Source organism: Homo sapiens, chromosome 19 (genome assembly GCF_000001405.40).
Source record: "Homo sapiens chromosome 19, GRCh38.p14 Primary Assembly".
Lineage (NCBI taxonomy): Eukaryota > Metazoa > Chordata > Mammalia > Primates > Hominidae > Homo > Homo sapiens.
Window position 1 is genome coordinate 1,379,334 of NC_000019.10, and position 24,442 is coordinate 1,403,775.

Here is a 24,442-nt window from a genome sequence, read left to right on the forward strand (position 1 = left end):
ATGGCTGGCGTTCCTCGACTGCCGCCGGAGCCCCGGGAAGACAGGCTTGACCCCGTGCACACACGCAGGGAGACGCCAGGAGCCCTGCCCTCAGAAGCCTGCACGCTTTGCCTCTCTTCTGGCAGCTAGCTAACCCTGCATCCCCACCTGAGCCTGTCCCTGGCACTGAGGACACTGGACCTGTGTCACTGGGGTGGGGTGTCCTGGGTCCTGCTGGGTGCTGAGTGTCTCCATGCCAGGAGCTCCCGCCTCTACCATCGAGATGACCACAGATGTCCCCAGACGTGGCCTGGTGCTCCGTGGAAAACTGCTGTCCACAAACCATGGCGTCCTTCCCCTGACCCCCGCCCCTTCCCTCTCTGGCTTGGCCCAGCGGGTGTCTCAGAACCTGGGTGCGTGCTTCTGCCAGCCCCCCAACCACCTGGCCCACACTCCCCAACCCCCTTCACTGAGCCGCAGAGACCCCCATGTCCCTGCCAATGCTTTTTCCGAAGCCGGTCTCACTTGTTCCCGCCCTGGCAGTGTGAGGGGAATTGGGGTCCCCCCTCAGTGGCACAGCTGTGCCTGTCTGATGACTTCCACCAAGCCCCCTTCACTGAGCTGCAGAGACCCCCATGTCCCTGCCAGTGCTTTTTCCGAAGCCAGTCTCACTTGTTCCCAGCAGTGTGAGGGGAATTGAGGTTCCCCCTCAGTGGCACAGCTGTGCCTGTCGGATCACTTCCAACAAGGTGGCCTTGGTGGCCGCACGGGGCACTTCGTCCATCTTAAAGGGGCAACACAGGCATGCAGCGAGAATTCCAAACCACAGAAACCTCACTCTCATGGGCCCCACTGCCTGAGGCATTTTCTGTTTTGCTTTTGTTGGTGGGTTGGTTGGTTGGTTGGTTGGTTTGAGACAGGGTCTGGCTCTGTTGCCCAGGCTGGAGTACAGTGGTGCAAACGTGGCTCACTGCAGCCTTGACCTCCCTGGCTCAAGCGATCCTCCCACTTCAGCCTCCCAAGAAGCTGGGACCACAGGTGTGCACCACCATGCCCGGCTAATTTTTGTGCTTCTTGTAGAAATGGTGCTTGCTGTGTTTCCGAGGCTAAGTGATCCTCATCGGCCTCCAAAGTGCTGAGATTATAGGCGAGAGCCACTGCAGCTGGCCTGCCTGAGTTCTTGTGCCTCTCTGCCTCCCTCCCTGTGCCAGCCTCACGCCCCCTCCTCACCTTCCCCAATTCCTACTCTCACCCCGCCCTGGGTCCTTCCCCTCTCACTGGCCTGAGCTGTTTCTGGAACTGCTGCCTGCCCTCTGCTCATGTCCTGCCTCTGCCCCGTGAAACCAGCTCCTCCATGTTCCCTGTCTCAGGGGTGTCCTCCAGGGCCCGGAGTTCCTGAACCAGATTCTTCTCCCCACCTACCTCACCTTTCTGTCCAGTCCGCCTATCAGTCAGCCCCCTTTGCAGCAGAATGCCACCCCAAAACCCAGCGCCTGGAACATTCTCCACACAGTTTCTGTGGGGCCGGGATCTAAGGGCAGCCCGGCCAGGGGCTTCTAGGGTGGCTCGTGGGGCTGCAGTCCACATGCTGGTTGGGGCCACATCATCAGAAGGCTCCAACGGGGCTGGGGGTCTGAGGAGCCTCGCTGGGGGCAGCAGCCCAGGAGCCACAGCAGCCGCCCATGAATATCACCGCCATTCTGTTGGTCACACAGAGCAGCCCCGGTTGAACGTGAAGACCCTATAGGGGCTGGGCTTGGTGGCTCACACCTGTAATCCCAGAACTCTGGGAGGCCAAGGTGGGCAGATCACCTGAGGTCAGAAGTTTGAGCCCAGCCTGGCCAACATGGTGAAACCCCATCTCTACTAAAAATACAAAAATTAGCCGGGTGTGGTGGTGGATGCGTGTAATCTCAGCTACTCAGGAGGCTGAAGCAGGACAATTGCTTAAACCCAGGAGGCAGAGGTTGCAGTGAGCTGAGATTGTGCCATTGCACTCCAGCCTGGGGGACAGAGCGAGACTCCGTCTCAAAAAAAGAAAAAAGACCCCATAGGAAGGCAAGAGCCTGAACAGCAAACGCAAGCCCAGGAGCCCTGTCATCCCAGCGGCCAGAGGACCATCCCCCTTGGCTCCCACTGAACTCAGCTGCAGTCCCCACCCCATCCCCCACCACCACTAGGGCTAAGAGCCAGCAGAAATCCTTGGGCTGGCTTCATTGTTCCTCCCGGGAAGAGTCCAGGGCAGCTGACACATGATCCCAGCATGGCACGCCGGGGACAGGGGAGGCACTCTGCTGTCCCTGACTGTATTTAAAAAAAAAAAATCCACAAGCAAAATCCCTAATGAGCAATGTTCCACAGTAAGTCCTGCCTCAGAACTGTGCAGGCATCAGAAACAGGAATGCCTGAGAAACGGCCACGGTCCCAGGAGCTGAGGAAACACCACGCCTGATGCCACGTAGGGTCCTGGATGGAGCCCTAGGCCAGGAAAGGGCATTAGAGGAAACCCAGGAAACTTGGATAGAGTGTAGATTTTGGTCAGTAATAATGTATCATGTGACAAATGTATCACACTCATGAACTGGGCATGGGGTACTCACAACTCTAAATTATTCTAAAAATATTGATATAAATTTAAGACCAAAACCATGGCCAGGCGTGGTGCCTCACTCCTGAATCCCAGCACTCTGGGAGGCCGAGGTGGGCAGATCACCTGAGGTCAGGAGTTCGAGACCAGCCTGGCCAACAAACCCTGTCTCTATTCAAAATACAAAAACTAGCCGGGCATCGTAGTGTGTGCATGTAATCCCAGCTACTCAGGAGGCTGAGGCAGGAGAATCACTTGATCCAGGGAGGTGGAGGCTGCAGTGAGCTGAGATCTTGCCACTGTACTCCAGCCTGGGTGACAGAGCAAGACTCCATCTCAAAAAATAAATAAATAAAAATAAAACCAAAACCCTACAGCACGGGCAGCTATGAGAACTAGAGAAGGAAGAGGGTTTTGTGCACCTGCCAGCCTCTTAGGTTCTTGTCAGCTTTTCCCCCAAGTCTTTATTATTATTATGTATTGTAGAGATGGGGTCTTGCTATGTTGCCCAGACTGGTCTCAAGCTCCTGGCTTCAAGTGATCCTCCTGCCTCGGCTTCCTAAAGTGCTGGGATTGCAGGTGTGAGCCACCATGCTGGGCCCCTCCAATCCTTTTGAGCTGCCCAAGAACAGAGACCAGGCCTGGCTTTGCTCAGCAGTGGGTCCCCAGCCCATGGCACGAATTCAGTAAACACTTGTTGTGGTCCTCAAGGGGCCCCCAGTCTTGCTAGTCACCTGTGTTCACCTAATTTGAGCCTCTGTTTTCTTTACTTTTTCTTTTTCTTTTTTCTTTTTTTTTTTTTTTTGAGATGGAGTCTCACTCTGTCGCCCAGGCTGGAGTGCGGTGGCACGATCTCAGCTCATTGCAACCTCCGCTTCCCGGATTCAAGTGATTCTCTTGCCTCAGCCTCCCGAGTAGCTGGGATTTAGATACAGGGTTTCACCATATTGGCCAGGTTGGTTTTGAACTCCTGACCTCAGGTGATTTGCCTGCCTCAGCCTCCCAAAGTGCTGGGATTACAGGCGTGAACCACCGCACCGGCCTTTGCCTCTGTTTTTGTAATCATAAAACAGGCAGACAAAACCTCCAGTGGAATTGTGAAAATTAAATGATATGCATGCAGAAAGCGTTCTGCAAACTCTGTTTTGCTAGTTTGGGTGTTTAGTGTTAGTTTTTATATCATTAGTACTGGTTGTAAACTTATCAATTTAAGCAAGATGGAAAATCGAGGGTGTGTCAGGGAAGGGGGAAGTTTGAGCTGAAATTATGACCTCTTAGGGGTGGGAAGAGGAGGCTTTGGGGTTGTGAGGTCTGAGCCCCCTTACTTTGGGATGAGTCCACATCGCGGCGACTCCTCTGCAGAATGCGGTGATGTTGCGGTAAGGGGTCCGGGATAGCTGCGAGGCAGCTGGACCAATCCTGAACGAAAGACATCAGTGATCGCAAGAGGCGCTAAAACTTCTGCCGAAACCCGGGATCGAACCAGGGACCTTTAGATCTTCAGTCTAACGCTCTCCCAACTGAGCTATTTCGGCTGGGCGGCAGAGTCGCTCTCGCCGGGACTCCGTCCCGCGCTGCGCCTTCCCTGCGCAGGCGCAGTCGTTTCGCGTCAGCAGGCCCCACATCCTTTGTAAGGTCTCCCAGGGCGCCGGAGCGCAGTGTCGTCTCTGTGGCGCAATCGGTTAGCGCGTTCGGCTGTTAACCGAAAGGTTGGTGGTTCGAGCCCACCCAGGGACGCGTGGTGACTTTTGCCCTCCTGGAATAACAAGAAAATGAGTGTCGCCTCTGTTTTTGTCGGTCCGCCGCAGACCCGCGGCCCCCACGTGCGCACTCCGATGACCTTTCCGCCTCGGGTGATCTGGGGGTGCACGGCGCAACACGACCACGGAGGCCGAAAGCGCAGCGGAACCTCCCGGCTCCAGGTTCCGGTTTCCGCATGCGCTCCGAGCCGCTTTGGGCGGCGGCCCCGGGAACCCGGAGCGCTAAGGAGAACGGACCTCAGAGGTTGTCTGAAGGCCGAGGCCAAGATGGCGGTGCTGTCAGGTGAGCGCGGCACCGGCGGCGGGTGTGGGGCCGCGCGGGTCTGGGGCCGTGGGAGCCTCGGGTGTCGTGGTGGCGTCGGGGGTCGGTGCCGGCGTCGTGGCCGCGGTCCTCTCCGGGCTTCTCCGAGCCGGCCGCTCCTCGGGCTCCCCGCCCGGCTTGCGATGAACGGTCGCCGTTATTGCGTCCAGAGTACAGTCGGGGAAACCGAGGCCCGGTAGGTCATGACGCAAGCCTCCAGCCTCAGGAAGGCGCTCGGGGTGGAGGCTGGAGGGGCCCCATTCACGTCCCCGAGACCAGGGCACGGCCCGCGAGGCTGCTCTTGAGATGCCCTGGAGAGAGCGGGGCCTGCCTGACAGGCTGGGAAACTGAGGCCCATTGAGGGTCTTCGAGGTCACAGGGCCGGGCCTGGGAAGGAACAGGACCCAGGACATCCACGCCACCCTGCTGGACCCTCCACCTCCCTCCCCACCCCTGGGAGGTAAGGGCCTCTCGCAGAGCCTGTCCTGCTCCAGGGACTTTTTTGGGATCAGCTGAAGCCTGCGGACCTCTGCTCAGATAAAGTTATTAAATGCATGGAATAAAATCCATAGAATTGCAAGGAAATCAGTTACACGGAGAGGCAGTTATTAAAAGATTGTCTTGAAACCTGATTGGCGACTTAGTAATCTAAGTGCTTCCCTTATGAACGCGATCTAGCGGCAGGTCTAATTGCGACTGTGATTTGGAAGGAGTGAGGAGTGGAAATGAGGCTTTGATGATACGGAAACGTCTGCAGCCCCTGCACCATAGCTAGGAAACATCTGTGATTCCGCTTGGTGAAAAGTTACAGGTCCTGCTAATACTGCCGTATTTTGTTGTCTATGCTAAGAATTTTTTATTTATTTATTAAGACAGGGTCTGCCTCTGTCGCTCAGACTGGAGTGCAGTGGTGCCATCTTGGCTCATCACTGCAACCTGTGCCTCCCAGGCTCAAGCGATTCTGGCACTTCAGTGTCCTGTGTAGCTGGGACCACAGGTGTGCGCCACCATGCCTGGCTAGTTTTTGTATTTTTAGTAGAGATGGGGGTCTTGCCCTGTTGCCCAGGCTGGTCTCGAACTTCTGAGTTCAAGCAATCCTCCCACCTGAGCCTCCCAAAGTGCTGGGAGCCACGGCACCCAGCCTACGCTAAGAATTGAATGAAGGGCTAATTTTCCATAAGATGCTGGTGACAACAAAGACATATATATTTTTTTATTCCAAGCAAATTCACAGTTCTGAATCCTCACCAGGCCCCTTGTTAAGAATGCCTGGCCCACGCGCGGTGGCTCACGCCTGTAATCCCAGCACTTTGGAAGGCCAAGGTGGGCGGATCACCTGAGGTCCGGAGTTCGAGACCAGCCTGGCCAACATGGAGAAACCCCGTCTCTACTAAAAATACAAAATCAGCTGGGTGTGGTGGCGCATGCCTGTAATCGCAGCTACTGGGGGGCTGGGGCAAGAGAATCGCTTGAACCCGGGAGGCGGAGGTTGCAGTGAGCTAAGATTGCACCATTGCACTCCATCCTGGGCAACAAGAGTGAAACTCCGTCTCAAAAACAAAAACAAAAACAAACCAGCTGGGCGTGGTGGCTCAGGCCTGTAATCCCAGCACTTTGGGAGGCCGAGGTGGGCGGATCCCCTGAGTTCGGGAGTTCAAGACCAGCCTGATCAACATGGAGAAACCCTGTCTCTACTAAAAAATGCAAAATTAGCTGAGCGTGGTAGCAGGCGCCTGTAATCCCAGCTACTCGGGAGGCTGAGGCAGGAGAATAGCTTGAACCTGGGAGGTGGAGGTTGCAGTGAGCCAAGATTGTGCCGTTGCACTCCAGCCTGGGTGACAAGAGCGAAACTCCGTCTCAAAACAACAACAACAACAACAAAAACCCTGACCCAGAGGCACAGAATCCCATCACCTCAGAGGTTCTCAGAAGAGTATCTCCTCTGCTAGGAGCTCATCCAAAGTCCTGCATTTTCAGCTTGGGAAACTGACACCTGGAGTGGGGCAGCTCCCACCAGAGCCTGGGGCTGGGCAGTTAGCCTGTCTGCTGTGCCCAGCCTCAGGCATGCCAAGAAGTAGGTCACAGGCTTGTGTCCTTCAGAGAGTTGTGGCCTGGACGGGGCCATGGGAAACAGCAACCCCGGATGAGGCTAAGGCTGGGGTGAGGGAGGGGCTCAGAGGCAGGAGAAGGCCCCATGGATCGCTGCATTCAGGGGCATCAAACCCTGGCCCTGGCCCCTGGAGGCTGCCCACAGCCTCTCCATCGGGCCTCACCTCACCCACAGCGACAAAGTACCATCACCTGGGCAGCTTCAACAGAAGCTGATTGTTCTCACAGTTCTGGGGGCTGGAAGGCCAAGATTGGGGGTCAGCAGGGTTGGTTCCTGCTGAGGCCTCTGTCCTTGGCTTGCCCGTGGCCATCTTCTCCCTGCGTCTTTCCTCTGTACATGTTTGTGTCCTGATCGCCTTTTCTTACAAGGACATAAGTCATATCGGATGAGGGCCCACCCTCGTGACCTCACTGTCCTTTATAATGACCCTTTATTTTATTTTTTGAGATGGAGTCTCCCTCTGTCACCCAAGCTGGAGTGCAGTGGCGCAGCCTCTGCTCACTGCAACCTCTACCTCCCGGGTTCAAGTGATTCTCCTGCCTCAGCCTCTCGAGTAGCTGGGATTACAGGTACCTGCTACTACACCCAGCTAATTTTTGTATTTTTAGTAGAGACGGGGTTTCACCATGTTGCCCAGGCTGGTCTCGAACTCCTGACCTCAGGTGATCCACCTGCCTCGGCCTCCTGAAGTGCTGGAATTACAGGCATGAGCCACCACGCCCAGGCATTAATGATCCCTTTAAAGACCCCATCTCCAAAAGCAGTCACATTCTGAGGTCCTGGGGTTAGGGCTTCAGATGCAGGTCGGGTGGAGGGTCACAGTTCAGCCGTCACCAGCACCAAGCCTGCCTTTCTGGATTCTTCCTTGTGAGCCAGGATTCCTGGCACCTCCAGGTTTCCTCCCGCTGAGTGCCCCGGGCGTGGCAAGGCCCTGCTCTGGCCTTAGTCTTCGCCTCGGGAAGGCTCTCCCAGGAGACTTCGTGCAGGCGCGTTCCCTCCTCTGCGCTTCCTTTGAGGCTGGCTCCTCTAGGGGTGCTTTTCTGTGTAGATTGACGTGGGCAGCGCCCTCCCCGCTTAGCGGACTGCAGATTCCTGCAGGATGGGGCCTGTGCTCAGCTGCGTGGGAAACGCCCGAGCAGCAGCCAGGGCCTGGAGCACCCAGCACACGCTTGTCAGGCACAGCTGAGGCCAGGACGAGCACTGGGTGCCCAGGGAGGCCCCAGCATTGCTGGAGTGGCAGGCACCCCACAAGCACGCATAGATGGAGATAGAACCGGGTGCCGGCAACCGGAGGACCTGGGGTCCTGGTGTAGGCGGGACGCCCCGGGTATCTGAACTGAAACCTGCCTCATGAGAAGGGGCCAGCAGTGTGCAAGTGTGAGGCGGGGTGTCCCCCGCAGGGCAGCAGCCAGTGTGCAAGTGTGAGGCGGGGTGTCCCCCACAGGGCAGCAGCCAGTGCGGGGGCCCTGGCGCAGGAAAGCGGCAGGTGCCAGTGAAGATCGCCAGGGCGGGGAGACGGGGCAGCGTTTGGGTTCCTTCCGGGGCCATGCAGTCTCAAGCAGGGGACTAAGACTCTCTCGTGTTCTGAAAACCCCCTCGTTACCTAACGTTTGTTAAGTGGCACTCGAGTTGGGATCAGAGCTAGGCTGTGCGGGCAGGAGCCTGATGGGGAAGCGCCTGGAGGCCGGCCCTGCGTGCTGCCCGCAGCTCACTGTTCCCACCCCGTGGTCCTCTCTGCAGCTCCTGGCCTGCGCGGCTTCCGGATCCTTGGTCTGCGGTGAGTGCCTGAGTCTCCAGCCCTCAGCTGGGAGGGGCCTTCAGCAGCGACAGACGAACGGGGCGGGGGGGGTGGGGGGTGGGGGGAGCGCCTTGTTGAAGGTCACGTGTCATGTTAGGGACAGGATGCAGGTGACGGTCTGCACGCTGCCCGTGATGTGCCGGGACCCTCCCTGGGACAGTCCACGCAGTGGCAAAGGCTGGACAGTCAGGAGGAAAACCCTGTGGGCCCGGCTCAGTGCCGTCAGAGCTCACCGCCACCTGGGGTGGGAAGGCATTCTCTGAGCCCTGTGCAGATGGCAGCTGGGGCAGGCCTCCTGCAGACCCAGGTGACTGACAGGGCGGTGAGGGCGCATGCCCAGGGATCTTACCTTGGTCATGTGTGGAGGGCCTGCTGCCAGTTTCCTTCTGTGGATGATCCTGGGACCGTCCTTGCTTGGACACTGTTGACCTGCTGGGTACGTCACAAAAGAAGTTCCATTCAAGTCTGGGCCATCATTGGGGGTCGGGGCGATGGCCGCATGGCTCCAGCGGCTCTGGCCAGTGGCCCAAGTGTTGACAGGCAGAGGTGAGAACAGTCTCGCAGCAGGGAGGGGAGAGGCAGGACAACAGTGAGTGCGGCTGGGGGAGCTGGAGGGGCCTGGGACAGCCACTGACCCGCGTTCCATCTCCCGGCAGCTCCAGCGTGGGCCCGGCTGTGCAGGCACGAGGTGTCCATCAGAGCGTGGCCACCGATGGCCCAAGCAGGTGAAGCTGGCCTTCTGGGGGAGGTCGTACCCCCTCGCCCCACCCCCATCCCTTCCTTATTTTCTGCATCAGTGCCGCAGCCACTGAGGTGCATGGATGGGGCAGGGAGGGGGTCACACATCCCAGTCCCTGACCTCATGTGGGTCCAGGCCTCTGGCAGCGGCCGTGGGGGCTCGCATCCGCCTCTGGGAAGCACCTGCGTGGCTGACGCCTCCTGTGCCCGTGTGTCTCTGTGCCAGCACCCAGCCTGCCCTGCCAAAGGCCAGAGCCGTGGCTCCCAAACCCAGCAGCCGGGGCGAGTATGTGGTGGCCAAGCTGGATGACCTCGTCAACTGGGCCCGCCGGGTGAGTACTATGAGCTGTAGGCCCTCCTCGAGCGCCAGGGCCTCTCTGCACACTCACAGGCACACACATACACACACCAACGTGCAGACACGTACACACACAACACATGCATGCACACTCACATGCGCACATGTGCATGCAAGCTCACATGTATGGACAGATGTGTACACGGACCACACGCACACTCACGCACACAATGCACATATGCACACTCGCACACATGCACACTTGCACACACATGCACACACAAGCACATGTGCACACACGCTTGCACACATACACACATGCACACTTGCACTCATGCACACTCATGCGCACATATACACATGCACACGCACACTCGCACACACGTGCACATATATGCACAGTCATGCACACACATGCACACTCACACACATGCACACACGTCCTTGTGTGGACACATGCATGTGTGCCTGTTGGCATGCATGCACACAGGCACACTCACTGATGCACACACACCCCTGCGGCCGTGGAGCAGGGCGGACCCTCCCGGAGGCCCCTGTGCTGGCCTGGTGGCCTGTGGTTCCATCTGAGGATTCGGACCCTGCTGGAGATGACCCCTCCGTTTCCGTCATTCTCTTTCTGGCGTCCGTGTGTTCCTCTTGTTTCTCTTTTAAGGTGAAAGCAGTGTTTTAAGTTAAAAGGAGCGCGTGTGAAGGCAGTAGATCCTTCTCGGTACCCGTTTAAAGCCTCCCCTGCCTGTGGCGCCAGCCCCCACGCAGCCCCTGCCATCCCCCTGCAGCGTGAGCACGTGCAGCTCCCTCCAGCTCCTGCGGCACTTGCTGCGACAGCCCGGGTTCAACAATCCCCCATTGATGGACGTTCACTGTTTCCTTTTGTTTTTTGTTTCCTAAACAATGCCACGGCGAACGTCCTGCCAGGGCCGCAGTGGTCGAGACAAGGATAGTTTTTAATGCAGGATAGTTCTTTTCTTTTTCTTTTCTTTTCTTTTTTTTTTTTTTGAGACGGAGGCTCGCTCTGTCGCCCAGGCTGGAGTGCAGTGGTGCGATCTCGGCTCACTGCATGCTCCGCTTGCCGGGTTCTCCTGCCTCAGCCTCCTAAGTAGCTGGGACTACAGGTGCCCGCCACCACGCCCGGCTAATTTTTTGTATTTTTATTTTTAGTAGAGATGGGGTTTCACCGTGTTGGCCAGGATGGTCTCGATCTCCTGACCTCGTGATCCGCCCACCTCGGCCTCCCAAAGTGCTGGGATTACAGGCGTGAGCCACCACGCCCGGCTAATGCAGGATAGTTTCTAATGGAGGGAACCTGAGACATGGCCAGCGGCCGTCCCAACACAGGCTTCTGGCGGGCAGGTGGACCTGGCCATTTCTGCCCGGGCAGCCCTGCCTCACTCTGTAGCCTGACCCTGTCACCCGCCAACACATGCAGCAGGGCCCCTGCCAGGTCTCAGAGCCGCGTGCAGGGAGAGCGGGAACGGTGGGGGAAATGAGAAGCCACAGGGATGGAGGAGAGGGGAGGGAGTGGCCAAGGAGATCTGAGAGGGCTTCCTGGAGGCGTCGCACTTGGTATGTGGACCCAGATCTAGTTAACGCAGAGAGTTCCCGGTTAGACCTGCGCTACTACTCGCCTGTAGCCCACGCGCTCAGAGAGTGGCTGGAGCCCCCTGTTGAAATGGTGGGACTTAGGATACACTGGGTTCGAGGAACTATGTGATGAGGACAGATCTCACCCGTTTCTCTCTATTTTATGTATTTGAATGTGGCTGGTGGGGCGCGCTTTACAACTCTTGGGGCCCGGAGGCCACCTGCAGGAGCCGCTGTGCCTCTCACCTCTGCCGGCTGCCGCCCCGGGACATGAGTCGGGGGTTCTGGGTGCTCCACGTGGAGTCTCACGCTGGGCCACGCGGGGCTCCGGGGGTGGCGTCTGACCCGAGCCCGGCCTCCGCAGAGTTCTCTGTGGCCCATGACCTTCGGCCTGGCCTGCTGCGCCGTGGAGATGATGCACATGGCAGCACCCCGCTACGACATGGACCGCTTTGGCGTGGTCTTCCGCGCCAGCCCGCGCCAGTCCGACGTCATGATCGTGGCCGGCACACTCACCAACAAGATGGCCCCAGCGCTTCGCAAGGTAGGCCTCGTCCCAGCCGCCCAGCCGCCCCCAGAGTGAGCTGCGCACGGACCCCGCCTCTCTTCCAGGTCTACGACCAGATGCCGGAGCCGCGCTACGTGGTCTCCATGGGGAGGTGAGTGCAGGGCGGGGGGTCTCCAGGGACAGACGTAGCGTGAGTGCTGGCCTGGCCGTGCCCTGATGGCGCTTATCAAAAGTGTCATCTACATTCAGTGAAATCCCACGTGGTCCCGGCGCTGCCCTTCAGCCGTCTCGGTGCCTCCACCCTAGGCAGATGCGCTGGTGGGCCTCTCCCCAGAACGATTCCTCCCATCCACCCCCACGCAGCAGACCCCACATTCCGCCCAGTTCTCTGCTTTACTCACACATAAGTGATGACAGGTGCTGTAGATAGTTTTATAATCTCAGCCTTCTCACTTGCCATTAGTTTTTTTTCTTTTTTTTTTTTTTTTTGAGACAGAGTCTTGCTCTGTCAACCCAGGCTGGAGTGCGGTGGAACCATCTCGGCTCACTGCAACCTCCGCCTCCCAGGTTCAAGCAATTTTCCTGCCTCAGCCTCCCAAGTAGCTGGGATTACAGGCATGCACCACCACACCCAGCTAATTTTTGTATTTTTAGTAGAGACGGGGTTTTACCATGTTGGCCAGGCTGGTCTTGAACTCCCTCAGGTGATCCGCCTGCCTCGGCCTCCCAAAGTGCTGGGATTATAGGCATAAGCCACCACGCCTGGCCTTGCCCTCATTTTTTAGTCATTTCCCCGTAACATTGAAAGGTATTTAGTCTCTTAACATTTTAAAATATTTATTTATTTACTTAAAGATGGAGTCTAGCTCTGTCGCCCAGGCTGGAGTGCAGTGGCACGATCTCAGCCCACTACAACCTCCGCCTCCCAGGTTCAAGCGATTCTCCTGCCTCAGCCTCCCGAGTAGCTGGGATTACAGGCACCTGCCACCACACCTGGCCAATTTTTGTATTTTTAGTAAAGAAGAGGTTTCACCATGTTGGCTAGGATGGTCTCGATCTCCTGATCTCGTGATCCACCCACCTCAGCCTCCCAAAGTTCTGGGATTACAGGCATGAGCCACCATGCCTGGCCAATATTTATTATTTTTATTTTTTAGAGACAGAGTCTCACTGAGTTGCCCAGGCTGGAGTGCAGTGGTGCAGTCATAGCTCACTGCAGCCTTGACCTCCTGGGCTCAAGCGGTCCCCCAACCTTAGCCTCTCAGAGTGCTGGGATTACAGATGTACTCCACTGTGCCTACTTTTTAAAATTTCTGTAGAGATCAGGTCTTGATAAGTTTACCCTTTTAAAGCGAGCAGTTCAGTGGTTTTTAGGCCACCACCTCTAATTCCAGAACATTCTCATCACCCCCAAATGAAATGCTGTCCCCATCAGCAGTCACTCTGCATCCCCTTCCGAGCCCCGGTGCCCACACCTCCCCTCCCTGTCTCTGTGGATGGGCCCGTCCTGGACATTTCACAGAAACAGGATCACACGCCGCATGGCCTTCTGTGTCCGGCGTCTCTCACTGAGCGCGACGTCCTCAAGGTGCATCCGTGCTGTGGCCTGTGTCCGAGCCTCGTGCCTTTTCTTGGCTGAATAATATCCCACTGTGTGGACATATTACTAATCTAATTCTAAACAGTTAATTAGAATATTCCAGAGTTTTCATAACCGTCTCCCACTGCTGGGCATTCAGGGTATGTCCATTTTTACGGCTGTGGGAAGCAGTGCTGGGAGTGGAGTCTGTGTGGTCTCCTGGGGTTTCCAGCTCCCTGCCCCGGGTGGACCCCAGCGCCTCACTGACAGAGCCGGAATCAGGCGAGGGTGAGGCTCAGCCGCCCCATAGACAGGGGCTGGGTGTTGGCACTGTGGCTGTCTGAAGTGGCTTTTTGTTGACACATGTGATCTGACACATCCCAGCCCCGGGAATCGGTGGTCAGGAGCCCCCTCGGGAGGGGAGCACTTTTCCCCGAGTTATCAGCCACGTGTGAGCTTGCGCCCCACTGGTCCCACAGAGGCTCTGGGAGCCTGTGCGTGTTTGCTCATTGCTTCTCCGTGACAAGTTCCAGCCTCGTAGGTGCCTGGCCTGCAGTTGAAGGCGGGTGGGGATGGGGCGAGGCCTCGTGGAGGGAGGGTGGGCAGGCGGGTCTTCGGCACACTCCCCTCACGGTGCCTCCCCAACAGCTGCGCCAACGGAGGAGGCTACTACCACTATTCCTACTCGGTGGTGAGGGGCTGCGACCGCATCGTGCCCGTGGACATCTACATCCCAGGTAGGGCCGGGACCGCACCGCCCACGAGGGAGCTGGAGACAGGGCCAGCGCCACACGGAGCCCGGCGGCCCCTGTGAGGGAGTCCCACACCCCCAGCAGACGGCGGGCTCCCCCATCCTATGGATGGGCCGACTCGGAGCGCTGCCTCTTAGTGGAGCCTGTCCCCTGTGAGAAGTCGGCGATGTATTCAGGCATCAGAGGGATCAGAGGGAGCAGGGGAAGCTGAGTGGAATTCCTGACACACGCCTGGTTTACAGCAGTTTCATATGGTCCTACCTGGCACAAACCAAAGACCTGCAGTTAGAAATACCAAGCGAGAAGGTTCCTGGGGGCCAAGGACACTGTCCCGCGCCCTCAGCCTTACAGAAGGGCACGCAGGACTCCCTGGGACCCGGGGTGGCCGGATTTGGCAAATGAAAACGTGGGAGGCTTAGTTTGACTGTGAGGTTAGGGTGAATTTGACCATCAGGAAAACTGTTAGTAGTAATTGTTTAGTACGAGTATATCCCAACAATATTTGGGCTATACTGACACTAAAAAGAGCATTGGCTGCATACCTGAAATTCACATCGCACCGGGAACATTCTTTATATCTGGTGATCCCGTGGGACTCTTGCACCTCACGTGGTCCCACGAGGGCCATCCCCCCGGGCGTTCACCTTGACAGTGGTCCACGGTAGGCAGGCTTGGAGGTGGCGCTCATGTGGGACAGGGGACAGAGTCCTGTTCTTGGCCACCCTGTGCTGCGTGCGGCATTAGCTCATGCGCAGAGAGCCCAGCCCTGAGTCCCGAGTCTGGGGGTTTGGGCAAGCGAGAGGCACATCCTGGTGCCTCTCAAAAGTGGAGGAACAGGCTCTGACTTTGGATTCCGCTTCCCTGGAAAGGGCGTTGATTTGTTCAGCGTTCTGCACGGTTCAGGTCACCCCGGGGGCAGTGGAGAGGGCAGCCTGGGCCTCCCTGTGACTTGACAGCACAGAGAGGTCCATCCTGGGGTCAGGAGCTCTGCCCATGCCCCTGGCGTCTTCCCCTGCAGTGCAGACCAATGGGGCAAGTTGCGAGTGTGGACTGTACTCCTCCCTCCTTGCAGACTGAGCTCCTCCCTCCCTGGGGACCGCGCTCCTCCCTCCCTGCGGACTGTGCTCCCTGTCTGGGGACTGCGCTCCTCCCTCCTTGGGGACCGTGCTCCTCCCTCCCTCCCTGCGGACCGCGCTCCTCCCTCCCTGGGGACCGCGCTCCTCCCTCCCTGCGGACCGCGCTCGGCCCTCCCTGGGGACCGCGCCCCTCCCTCCCAGCGGACCGCGCTCCTCCCTCCCTGGGGACCTCGCTCCTCCCTCCCTCCCTGCGGACTGTGCTGCTCCCTCCCTGCGGACTGTGCTTCTCCCTCCCTTGGAGCAGCCTGGACTTGCCAGAGCTCTGCCAGGTGGGGCCTGGCCGCCCTTTCCCAGGCCCTGCAGTGGCCTTGTCCTTTCTCACCTGTTTCCACTCCTGCTGTCCCCGTTGGGCCCTGGGCTTCGTCCTCTTGCTCAAGCCCTTTGTTCTGAACCTGCGTGGCAGCCGGGACTGGGGGATCCCCAGCAAAGAGCTCTGGCTTGGGGCTCAGAAAGAGGGTCATCGGGTCCTCGTGGGATGCCCGGGCTCTGGGCCACCTCCCCTCCCTCCGCCCAGCCTCCCTGCCTCCATCTCCGTCCAGGGCAGCCCCGGGCCCTGCTCCCCACTGCTAAGTGTGTCTGCTGAGCGCTGGCCCCCATTGAGTCCTGAGGGCTGGGGCCGGGGGCCGGGTTAGTGAGGTCAGCGTCTTGTCCGAGAGGTCCCTGTGACAGCCCGGGATGAGCCACGGGTGGAGGGCAGTGGGGCCTTGCCCAGGGGAGGACCCCACTCTTCCTGCAGGGACCTCCCCTGCGCCGGCTCCCAGTCCCTGGCACTGCGCCCACCCAGGGCTGTCAGCCTCCACCTTCAGAGGCCGGCCCGGGAAACCCTTCCAAAGCCGAGCCGGCTGCGCTGTGCACGCGGTCACGCGGGCTCCGGCTGCGGGAAGCGAGACTGAGGCAAGGTCCCTGCAGGCTGCCCACCTACGGCCGAGGCCCTGCTCTACGGCATCCTGCAGCTGCAGAGGAAGATCAAGCGGGAGCGGAGGCTGCAGATCTGGTACCGCAGGTAGCGCCGCCGCCGCCGCCGCCGGAGCCTGTCGCCGTCCTGTCCCCAGCCTGCTTGTGTCCCGTGAGGTTGTCAATAAACCTGCCCTCGGGCTGCCGCCTCCCAGTGTGGTGTGTGGGTGAAAGGAGCCGGGGACGTGGGGGGATCACAGACCCCCTGCGGCGTGCCGCCCTTGGGCTGGGGGCGGTTGGAGCAGAGCCGGGGGCAGAGACGGGCACTGTGCCTGCCAGCAGGGTCCTTTCCCGCTGCTCTGCGAAGACCCTGGGGTGGACATCGTGGCCCAAAGTCCCGAGCGTGGAAGGCCGCACACCCATCCTTCCTGGGAGGGCCCTGACTCAGTCTCCCTCTATGCCCTAAGGCAGGCTGAGCAAAGCCCGTCTGAGCCTGCCCCGGGGTTCAGAGTGTGGCCTGTGGCCTGCGTGTGGACTTGGGCAGGTCGCCACTGCCCTCTGGCCCATTTCCAGGCGGTGGCATGGGCTGGTTAGCTGAGGGCTGGGGCCAGGGAGATGGGGAGGTGGCACCTGGTCCAAACCAAAGGGCTGCAGGGCAGGACTGTGAGCCTCACAGGCTGTCTGACCCCACTTTGGGGACCCTCTCCACCCAGGGCTTTCGGGGAACCCTGACTCCACCCCACCAGCCCCTTCATCCGTCGAAGTCCAGGCCTCATCAGGGACGTGCATTCATTCAGCAAACGTCCCATCTTCCTGTGTTCAGCGCCAGATGCCGCCGGTGCTGGGACCTCGCTCTGCAGGCCCACCCTGCATGCCTGCTGCACACCAGGGACAGTTCTGGGGATCGGCAGTTATGACGGGCCAGGCTGGGATGGGGCCCGGGAGACTGGGGCGGGGGTGGGGAAGAGGCACCCAGCCCAGCCGGGTCAAGCAGCCTGGAAGCAGGACATGCTGGGGTGGGGACAGGGCGTCAGCCAGCGGAACAGCAGCCCTGGGCCAGAGTGCAGAGCACAGGAGCCGGCCTTCTCTCAGGGCAAGGAGGTCAGTGGAGGGGGCGAGCAGGACGGCCCCAGGAAGATGGGCGGGCTGCACACATGTGGATGCAGGGGGCAAAGTGGGAGGCATGGGGTGACCAGCTGGGCACAAGGGCACAGACAGGCAGGACCCGGGATGTTCCTGGGGCTGGGCAGGTGGGGCTGCCCCTGCAATGGGCCCAGCAGGGGCGATGCCTCCTGAGAGGAAACCACATCTGGAAATGGGAGGCTTGGGGAACGGGGCTGTCAGCAGCCACGCCCCTCCTGGGGCGGGAGGAGGGGAGCTCAGGGTGTGCTGGGGCGGGCAGAGAAGTGGGTTCCTGCCTGGGGTGGGCAAAGATCCTTGTCCCACCCACACCCCGGCCGTGGTGCTGCCACCCCCTGAGACCCTGACCTAGTTACCCCCTTCCCTGACCCCACTGCAAAGGGTCAGGTGGCTTTCATCTGAGGAAGGGACATCGGGCATCAGCTGGAGATGTCTGCTATGGGCAAGACAGTGGGGGGGGCGGGGCGGATCCTGGGGCCGCTCAGAAACCTGGAGGGGAGTCACCCACTTTTCCTGTGTCCATGGGATGGGCGGGAGGTGAGGGAGCAGCCGCTGGAAGTAACAGTCGCACGCTCACTGCCGACTGGCCAAGCCCAGCGCCGGCGTTTACTTCACCTCAGGGACCCTGCAGTGGGCAGCAGTGACCCTCACAGAGAAGCTGGGAAAGCTGCTGGTGACACACAGCTGGGATCAGCCCTGGGCTGGTGGGACCCCTCACAGAGAAGCCGGGAAAGCTTCTGGTGACACACAGCTGGGATCAGCCCAGGGCTGGTGCGACACCCTGGACTCCCGGCCAGGAAGGCACGGAGGAGGGCATGGGTGTGGCCGGGCCGGGGTGGGGGCTCAGCCTTTGGTCACCAGGGGCGTGATCATCTGTGGGAAGGCGTAGTAGCGGCAGTCGGCCGGTGGGACCAGCGCCATCACCTCCGTACGGATGTTCTCCCTCCGGAAGCCGGCCTCCAGCAGCGCGGGCACCTGCGTCTCCTGGTCGGGGATGGCACCAGGTCACCTCTGAGGGCCATGGGGGTCACGTGCACCCTGGCGCCCACCCCTCATTGAAGAGTGTTTACAGATGGCAAGGCCCGGGTGGGCGGCTGCAGCTCCCGTGGGCACGTGGCAGGGCAGCCCTGGAAGCCCAGGTGTGAACGGGAATCTCCAGCTCCCCAGTGCGGGCAGCAGCTTCCCGGCTGTCCTGGAACCCCAGCCCCACACTCGAGCCACCCCCGGGCACCTACTCCACAGTTCTCCAGACCTTGCCAGTGTGGCGGGTGGAGCCAAAGAATCACACCAGAAAAAGAACACAGGCCACTAGTTCCCATTTTGGAAGAAAAGCTGCCCCAGGGGCCACAGGCACCCAGCCGGCTCTCACAACAGCAGCCCAGGGCAACCACATAGAGCCCTTCTCAGATAGGCCGCCTCCACCAGGCAGAGGGAACAGCGAGACAAGCACTGCTGAACCAGCAAAGACAGCCAGGTGGAGGCAGCTGGAGGGAGGGGAACACGCAGGGCTTAGGCTGAACCACAGGGCACTGGGGAGCCATGGGAGGTTGTTGAGCTGGTGAGGGACTTTGATTTCCATTTTTTTTGTTTTTGTTTTGTTGAGATGGAGTCTCGGTCTGTTGCCCAGGCTGGAGTACAACGGTGCAATCTCGGCTCACAGCAACCTCCGCCTCCCATGTTCAAGTGATTCTCATGCCTCAGCCTCCCGAGTAGCTGGAATTACAGGCGCCCGCCACCACGCCTGGCTAACTTTTGTATTTTTAGTAGAGATGGGATTCTGCCATGTTGGCCAGGCTAGGCTCAAACTCCTGGGCTCAAGTGATCCACCCGCCTTGGCCTTCCGAAGTGCCGGGATCACAGGTGTGAGCCACCACGCCCAGCCTGATTTCCATTTTTTTTTTAAATTTTCTTTCTTTCTTTCTTTCTTTCTTTTTTCTTGAGACAGGGTCTGGCTCTGTTACCCAGGCTGGAGTGCAGTGGTTCGATCTGGGCTCACTGCAACCTCTGCCCCTGGGGCCCAAGCAATCCTCCTACCTCAGCCTCCCAAGTAGCTGGGAGTACAGGCACACGCCACCACGCCCAGCTAGTTTTTTGTATTTTTTTTTTTTAGGAAAGATGAGGTCTTGCTCTGTAGCCCAGGCTGGTCTTGAACTCCTAGGCTCAAGCAATCTGCCCACCTCGGCCTTCCACAGTGCTGGGATTATAGACCTGAGCCACTGCTCCTGGCAGCCACTGCGCCAGGCAAAGGACTTTGATTTCTAAATGAACCAGCACAGTCCAGCCCACCCAGGGGGTCAGGAAGGGACCCTCCCCAGGTAGCAAGGTGGCTCCAGCAGCCCCTTCCCACCCCCATCCAAGGTCACTTCCTGGAGACCCATGGGGAACTTCAGGTGGGCGCACCTCAAACATGATGGTGATGTCTGAGTACTTGGACTTCATCAGCTCCCCCCAGGAGGTGAGGTTGCAGTAGGTGAGGACGCCCCCCGGCTTCAGCAGGCGAAAGGCGTGGTTCTGTGGAAGGGGAGTGGCCAGTGGTCAGGACGGAGGTGGGGGTGTGGGCAGAGGGGCTTCCCCGAGGGCCTCCCGCATCCCAGCAAGTCAGAGAGAACCACCTTGATGAAGTTGAACTGGTGTGTGTGCCAGGTCTCCTCCGAGAGTGGGTACGTGTCGTACAGGATCCCTGCACGGAGAACAGAAGCCCACGCGGTCAGGGCCGGGCTCAGCGCCTCACCCAGCCTCACCCGGCTCATCCCCCAGCGGGTGGAGGTGCAGTGAGACGGGGCCGTGGGTAGAGGTGGGGCTCCCACACAGGCTTGAGAACCCCGAGATCGCCTCCAGGGCCCCTCCGTGAGCATGCCCATCCCCGGTGCTCCGCCATCCCACAGCCAGGCCCACACCCACTTGGGCTCTGTCCCCCCAGTGCACATCAGAGGGACCCCCACAAGCAAAGGAGGGGCTGCATTGGAGCTGGGGAGGCCCACCCTGTGATACGTCCCCTCACCCCTCACCATCAAAGTGACCGTCAGGCAGGGTGGGTGCCACATCCTCCCACAGGCCTTTCAAGGGGATGACCTTGCAGAGGGGAAAAGAAAAAGAGAGGACAGGGTAGAGAGGTCCCCAGGATCTCCCCACCTGCAGAAAGGGAGCGGCCAGGGGGACTCCCGAGAGAGAAGACCACCTCCTCCACCTCTGACAGCCCCAGGCCCCCAACCCCCAGGAAGCAGTGCCCTCACCCCAAGGAGTGGGGGTCCTGGAGGGCCTGCGGGCAGAGGGGCACCTTGTGTGTCTGCCGTGGGGCCCAGTCCCGGAGCCGCTGGAAGACGCCGTCATTGCACTCGATGATCCAATGCTCATCAATGGGCGCCTCCTGCACCTTTGACGCTGCGATGGCCATGCCAAAGCCCACCTCCAGGACCCGGCCCCCTGGGCAGACACAGGGCGCCTGGCATCACTAGGTGGGGCGGGCTTAGGAGGCTGCCTGGAGGAGGGGCACAGGGCAGGGCAGGGCTGGGGAGACTGCCTGGAGGAGGGGGCGCAGGGCTGGGCTGGGGGTCTGCCTGGAGGGGGGCGTGCAGAGCAGGGCTGGAGAGGCTGCCTGGAGGAGGGGGTGTGGGGCAATGCTGGGGAGGCTGCCTGGAGGAGGGGGTGCGGGGCAGGGCTGGAGAGGCTGCCAGGAGGAGGGGATGCAGGGCTGGGGAGGCTGTCTGGAAGAGGGGGTGCAGAGCAGGGCTGGGGAGGCTTCCTGGAGGAGGGGGCACAGGGTAGGGCAGGGCTGAGCTGGGGGTCTGCTTGGAGGAGGGGGTGCAGGGCTGAACTAGGCTATGTGAGTCACATTTGCCACAGGACGGGAGGGCACCCTGGGCCAGCATGGACAGAGGCGGGCGGAACACAGTAGTCCTGAGCGGGAACAGCGTGGGCCCTGGCCAGCGGCCAGAGAGAGGATGACCAGCCAGGGAGGCCGAAGACGGCCGCTTTTGGGGCCAGGCCTGTGGGGAGGCGAGAGCCTTGGACTTTGAGCCCAGCCCACGCTGTTTGTCCCGGGTCCCTTATCTCTCGGGTTAGTTACTTTTCTCTCCCCCTCCCTCTATCCGAAAGTTGGATTTGCAAGAGTGGCCAGGCAAGACCTGGACTTGAGACTATCTGGGAGGGGAAGGACTGGTCCCCAGTGGGCCACACATGGGCCCCCCGCTCAATCCTGATTGGCACTGGACACTGGACGTGCCCATTTTCAGGGTGGGAACACTGAGGCCCGACCCCTGGACGGGGCCTGTGTGGGGCCAGGGAGTCCTTTCTTAGCAGCCCTTAGCGTCTGACGCCAGGCAGGCCAGGGCCACCCCGGGGACAGCTGTCTCCCTGAGCTCAGCTTTCCGAGTGCTATTCTTAGCCGGGCGAGTCGGGGCTGCTCTCCCAGGCAGGCAGAAGGGCAGCCTCTCCCTGGCACGACCCCTTCCTCCCGACCTCAGACAGGGAGCTGGGGACCCGGTTCCACCCAGTTTCACCCAGGTCTCACGTTTGAGGTCCCCATCTGGAGAGCGGGGGGCCTCACTCCCCCTGGAGAGGAAGTTTCTGGTACTTAGGCGGTGCCTAACGTGTGCGGGCCCCACGCCTGCCGCACTCCCCGTGAACGCCTCCGTGTGCCCCCACCTGCAGCCCCACTTCCCAGGCGAGGAGACAGAGGCGCCCCGGCGGGAGGGTGGGCTGCAGAGTCCCCGGGTCGGGGCAGCCCCGGCCTCAGTTTCCCCTGCGCCCCCGGGGGCGGTGCAGGCCGGGCGGGGGCTACCTTTGGAGGAGGCGGCGGCGGCCAGCGCGTGCATATAGGGGGTCTCCCAGCGCTCCATCACCGGCTTGCCCAGGATGCGCAGGTGCGTGTCCGCTGCGTCGTAGGCCGCGGGCGCCGCCCCCCACGCGGGGCTGCAGTTCTCGCCGGGCGCGAAGATGGGGGTCGCGCTGGGGGCGCTCATGCTGCAGGCTGGACGGCGACCCGACCTCGATCGCGCGCCGCCCGGGCCCGCTCCCTGCAGGGGCTTGTGGGCCGGGGGCGGGTCCAACAGGCCCGGGGGGCGGACCCGCGAGAGGACGCGCGCGCGCGGCTCCGGGAGCGGCCTCTAGCGGCGGCCACGCGAGAGGTGGCGGGAGTGGGGTCGGGGCCCCGGCCGCCCCCTCCCCAAGGAGCCTCGGTGCCCCCTCTGCGGAGCGGGCACCGCAGCCCCGCGCCCGGGGACGCGAACCTGCAGGCTGGGGACTGGAATCCCCGCCTTGCCGCTTACGCGCCATAGATTCCTCATCTGTCAGCACCGCAGAAAGGCCCCCTCCTCGCTGGGGTGTGAGAATCTGAGGATCTTCCAGGCGCTGTTGGAAGTGCTTTAAGTGTTTAAAATCATTTAATCTTCAGAAGATGCTACAGTGAGTTCTGTCTTTTTTTAATAGAGACGGGGTCTTGCTATGTTGCCCAGGTTGGTCTCAAACTCCTGGGCGCAAGCGATCCTCCCGCTTCAGCCTCCCAAAGTGTTGGGATTACAGGCGTGAGCCACCGCGCCCGCCAGGTTCTATGATGACTGTCGTTTTTCCTTCCTTCCTTCCTTCCTTTCTTTTTTGAAAGCAAGTTTATTAAGGAATAAAAATGAATGGCTACTCCATAGAGCAGCCGACTGTCATTTTACAGATGTGGAAACTGAGGCTTTGAGAAGCAAAGCCGGTGGTCTGGTGGCCACGAGGGTGGGGACCCAGCATTAGAGCTCTGATGCCCCCCTTTCATGAGCCCATGTCACACCCCCATAGGCTGGGGGTCATCTGAGACCCCGGGTCCCTAATGGGGGATTCCGCCCAAAGACGCCTCCAGTTCTGGAGACCAGGACTCAATCCCAGCAGTGCCCTTTCCTCCGGCGGCCCTGCAGCTGGGGTGTGCGGGGGTGGAATTAGGCCTCCCCCAGCCCAGGGTAGCCCCTTAGGGTCAAGCACACCCCCCGCCTGTTTCCTGGGGGCCCCCAAGCCCGCTGCGGTGGCGTCCTGGCTCTGATAGCCGGTTTCCTTCCCCCTCTGAACGTGGGGCCACAGTCATGAGCCCTGAGCACTGCCTGCCTGCCTGCCTGCCTGCCTGCCGTGCGTTCTGCACGGGTTAACAGATGCAGTTATTATGCCCATTTAACACGAGGGAAACTGAGGCCCAGAGAGGTTGAGGTTCACAGGTTGCAGCAGGGCCACGGTGTGAACGCAGGCAGCCTCGGAAACAGCTCCCGCGCGCGGCCTTCCCTGCGCCACCTTGTCTGGGTAGCTGCCTGCCCCATCACTGCCTGCTCAACGCCTCCACATGCCCCTGCCACCTCTTGCACAGCTCCTTAGCCCCGGGCCTTGGCACACGCTCTTCCCCTTGCCCAGACAGCCTCTCTCCTGGTCAGGCCGCTTTCTCGTTCTGTCTCAAGCTGAGCCCACGTGTCCTCTAGGAGACACCCCCATTCTGCCCCAGGACAGGCATGTCCTGGTCAGAAGCTGTTTTGTTTGTTTTTGTTTTTCTGAGACAGAGTCTCACTCTGTTGCTCAGGTTGGAGTGCAGTGGCATGATTTTGGCTCAGTGCAACCTCTGCCTCCCGGGTTCAAGCGATTCTCCTACCTCAGCCTCCTGGGTAGCTGTGATGACAGGCGCCCGCCACCAAGCCCGGCTAATTTTTTTTTTTTTTTTTTTTTTTTGTATTTTTAGTAGAAACGGGGTTTCACCATGTTAGCCAGGATGGTCTTGATCTCCTGACCTCGTGATTCACCCGCCTCGGCCTCCTAAAGTGCTGGGATTGCAAGGTGTGAGCCACCGCACCCACCCGGCCAGAAGCTGTTTTCTCTCTCTTTGGTAGTTCACTAACGGAAGGTATTTCTTCATGGTCCTAGCGTCCCTCTCACAGGGCTGTCAGTGATCCTGGCACACAGAACATGCTTGATAGGCTGGGTGCAGCAGCTCCCACCTGTGATCCCAGTGCCTGGGGGAGGTGCAGGGGCTCAGGCCTGTGATCCCACCACTTTGGGATGCCGAGGTAGAAGGATTGCTTCAGTGCAAGAGTTAAGACCAGCTTAGACCACACACAGAGACCTTGTCTCTACAAAAAAAAAAAAGTTTTAAAAATTAGCCAGGGCCGGGCGCGGTGGCTCACGCGTGTAATCCCAGCACTTTGGGAGGCTGAGGTGGGCGGATCCCCTGAGACCAGCCTGGCAACACGGTGAAACCCCATGTCTACAAAAATACAAAAATAGCTGGGCGTGGTGGTGGGTGCCTGT

The 24,442-nt window shown here is 60.0% G+C and overlaps 2 protein-coding genes and 2 non-coding genes across 7 annotated transcripts, besides 7 other annotated features; 2 read left to right on the forward strand and 2 right to left on the reverse strand.

The window, feature by feature from the left end:
* Positions 1,104–1,604: an enhancer, noted in NCBI's record as "H3K4me1 hESC enhancer chr19:1380436-1380936 (GRCh37/hg19 assembly coordinates)". NCBI's record gives its function as "activates a minimal SCP1, AML or CMV promoter by ChIP-STARR-seq in primed H9 embryonic stem cells {active_cell/tissue: H9 hESC(primed)}" and the evidence as "EXISTENCE:reporter gene assay evidence [ECO:0000049][PMID:30033119]".
* Positions 3,944–4,073: a silencer, noted in NCBI's record as "silent region_9704". NCBI's record gives its function as "represses an Ori minimal core promoter by ATAC-STARR-seq in GM12878 lymphoblastoid cells {active_cell/tissue: GM12878}" and the evidence as "EXISTENCE:reporter gene assay evidence [ECO:0000049][PMID:35858748]".
* TRF-GAA1-6 (tRNA-Phe (anticodon GAA) 1-6) lies at positions 4,029–4,101 on the reverse strand. The gene has a single exon. It is a non-coding gene; the product is annotated as a tRNA-Phe (tRNA).
* Positions 4,230–4,303, forward strand: TRN-GTT2-6 (tRNA-Asn (anticodon GTT) 2-6). The gene has a single exon. It is a non-coding gene; the product is annotated as a tRNA-Asn (tRNA).
* Positions 4,254–4,393: a silencer, noted in NCBI's record as "silent region_9705". NCBI's record gives its function as "represses an Ori minimal core promoter by ATAC-STARR-seq in GM12878 lymphoblastoid cells {active_cell/tissue: GM12878}" and the evidence as "EXISTENCE:reporter gene assay evidence [ECO:0000049][PMID:35858748]".
* Positions 4,574–16,251, forward strand: NDUFS7 (NADH:ubiquinone oxidoreductase core subunit S7). Of its 3 annotated transcripts, none has more exons than NM_001363602.2 (8): positions 4,574–4,609; positions 8,478–8,514; positions 9,192–9,260; positions 9,500–9,605; positions 11,538–11,717; positions 11,786–11,832; positions 13,909–13,997; positions 15,085–16,251. In NM_001363602.2, exons 1-8 carry the CDS (start codon positions 4,594–4,596, stop codon positions 15,087–15,089), a joined length of 549 nt encoding a protein of 182 aa, NP_001350531.1. In that variant the 5' UTR covers positions 4,574–4,593; the 3' UTR covers positions 15,090–16,251. The 3 variants fall into 3 exon arrangements, with proteins under 3 accessions (NP_001350531.1, NP_077718.3, XP_016882257.2); NM_024407.5 differs by having other exon boundaries at positions 16,058–16,251; XM_017026768.3 differs by lacking the exons at positions 11,538–11,717; positions 11,786–11,832; positions 13,909–13,997; positions 15,085–16,251 and having other exon boundaries at positions 9,500–10,262.
* Positions 4,644–4,703: a silencer, noted in NCBI's record as "silent region_9706". NCBI's record gives its function as "represses an Ori minimal core promoter by ATAC-STARR-seq in GM12878 lymphoblastoid cells {active_cell/tissue: GM12878}" and the evidence as "EXISTENCE:reporter gene assay evidence [ECO:0000049][PMID:35858748]".
* Positions 17,119–17,168: an enhancer, noted in NCBI's record as "active region_13611". NCBI's record gives its function as "activates an Ori minimal core promoter by ATAC-STARR-seq in GM12878 lymphoblastoid cells {active_cell/tissue: GM12878}" and the evidence as "EXISTENCE:reporter gene assay evidence [ECO:0000049][PMID:35858748]".
* Positions 17,269–17,318: an enhancer, noted in NCBI's record as "active region_13612". NCBI's record gives its function as "activates an Ori minimal core promoter by ATAC-STARR-seq in GM12878 lymphoblastoid cells {active_cell/tissue: GM12878}" and the evidence as "EXISTENCE:reporter gene assay evidence [ECO:0000049][PMID:35858748]".
* Positions 17,693–22,209, reverse strand: GAMT (guanidinoacetate N-methyltransferase). Of its 2 annotated transcripts, NM_000156.6 has the most exons (6): positions 21,963–22,209; positions 20,460–20,605; positions 20,191–20,254; positions 19,795–19,862; positions 19,583–19,693; positions 17,693–18,166 (listed from the first exon to the last, which is right to left on the reverse strand). In NM_000156.6, the coding sequence occupies exons 1-6, from the start codon at positions 22,141–22,143 to the stop codon at positions 18,026–18,028; spliced, it is 711 nt and encodes a 236-aa protein (NP_000147.1). In that variant the 5' UTR covers positions 22,144–22,209; the 3' UTR covers positions 17,693–18,025. The 2 variants fall into 2 exon arrangements, with proteins under 2 accessions (NP_000147.1, NP_620279.1); NM_138924.3 differs by lacking the exon at positions 17,693–18,166 and having other exon boundaries at positions 18,482–19,693.
* Positions 21,947–22,526: a silencer, noted in NCBI's record as "silent region_9707". NCBI's record gives its function as "represses an Ori minimal core promoter by ATAC-STARR-seq in GM12878 lymphoblastoid cells {active_cell/tissue: GM12878}" and the evidence as "EXISTENCE:reporter gene assay evidence [ECO:0000049][PMID:35858748]".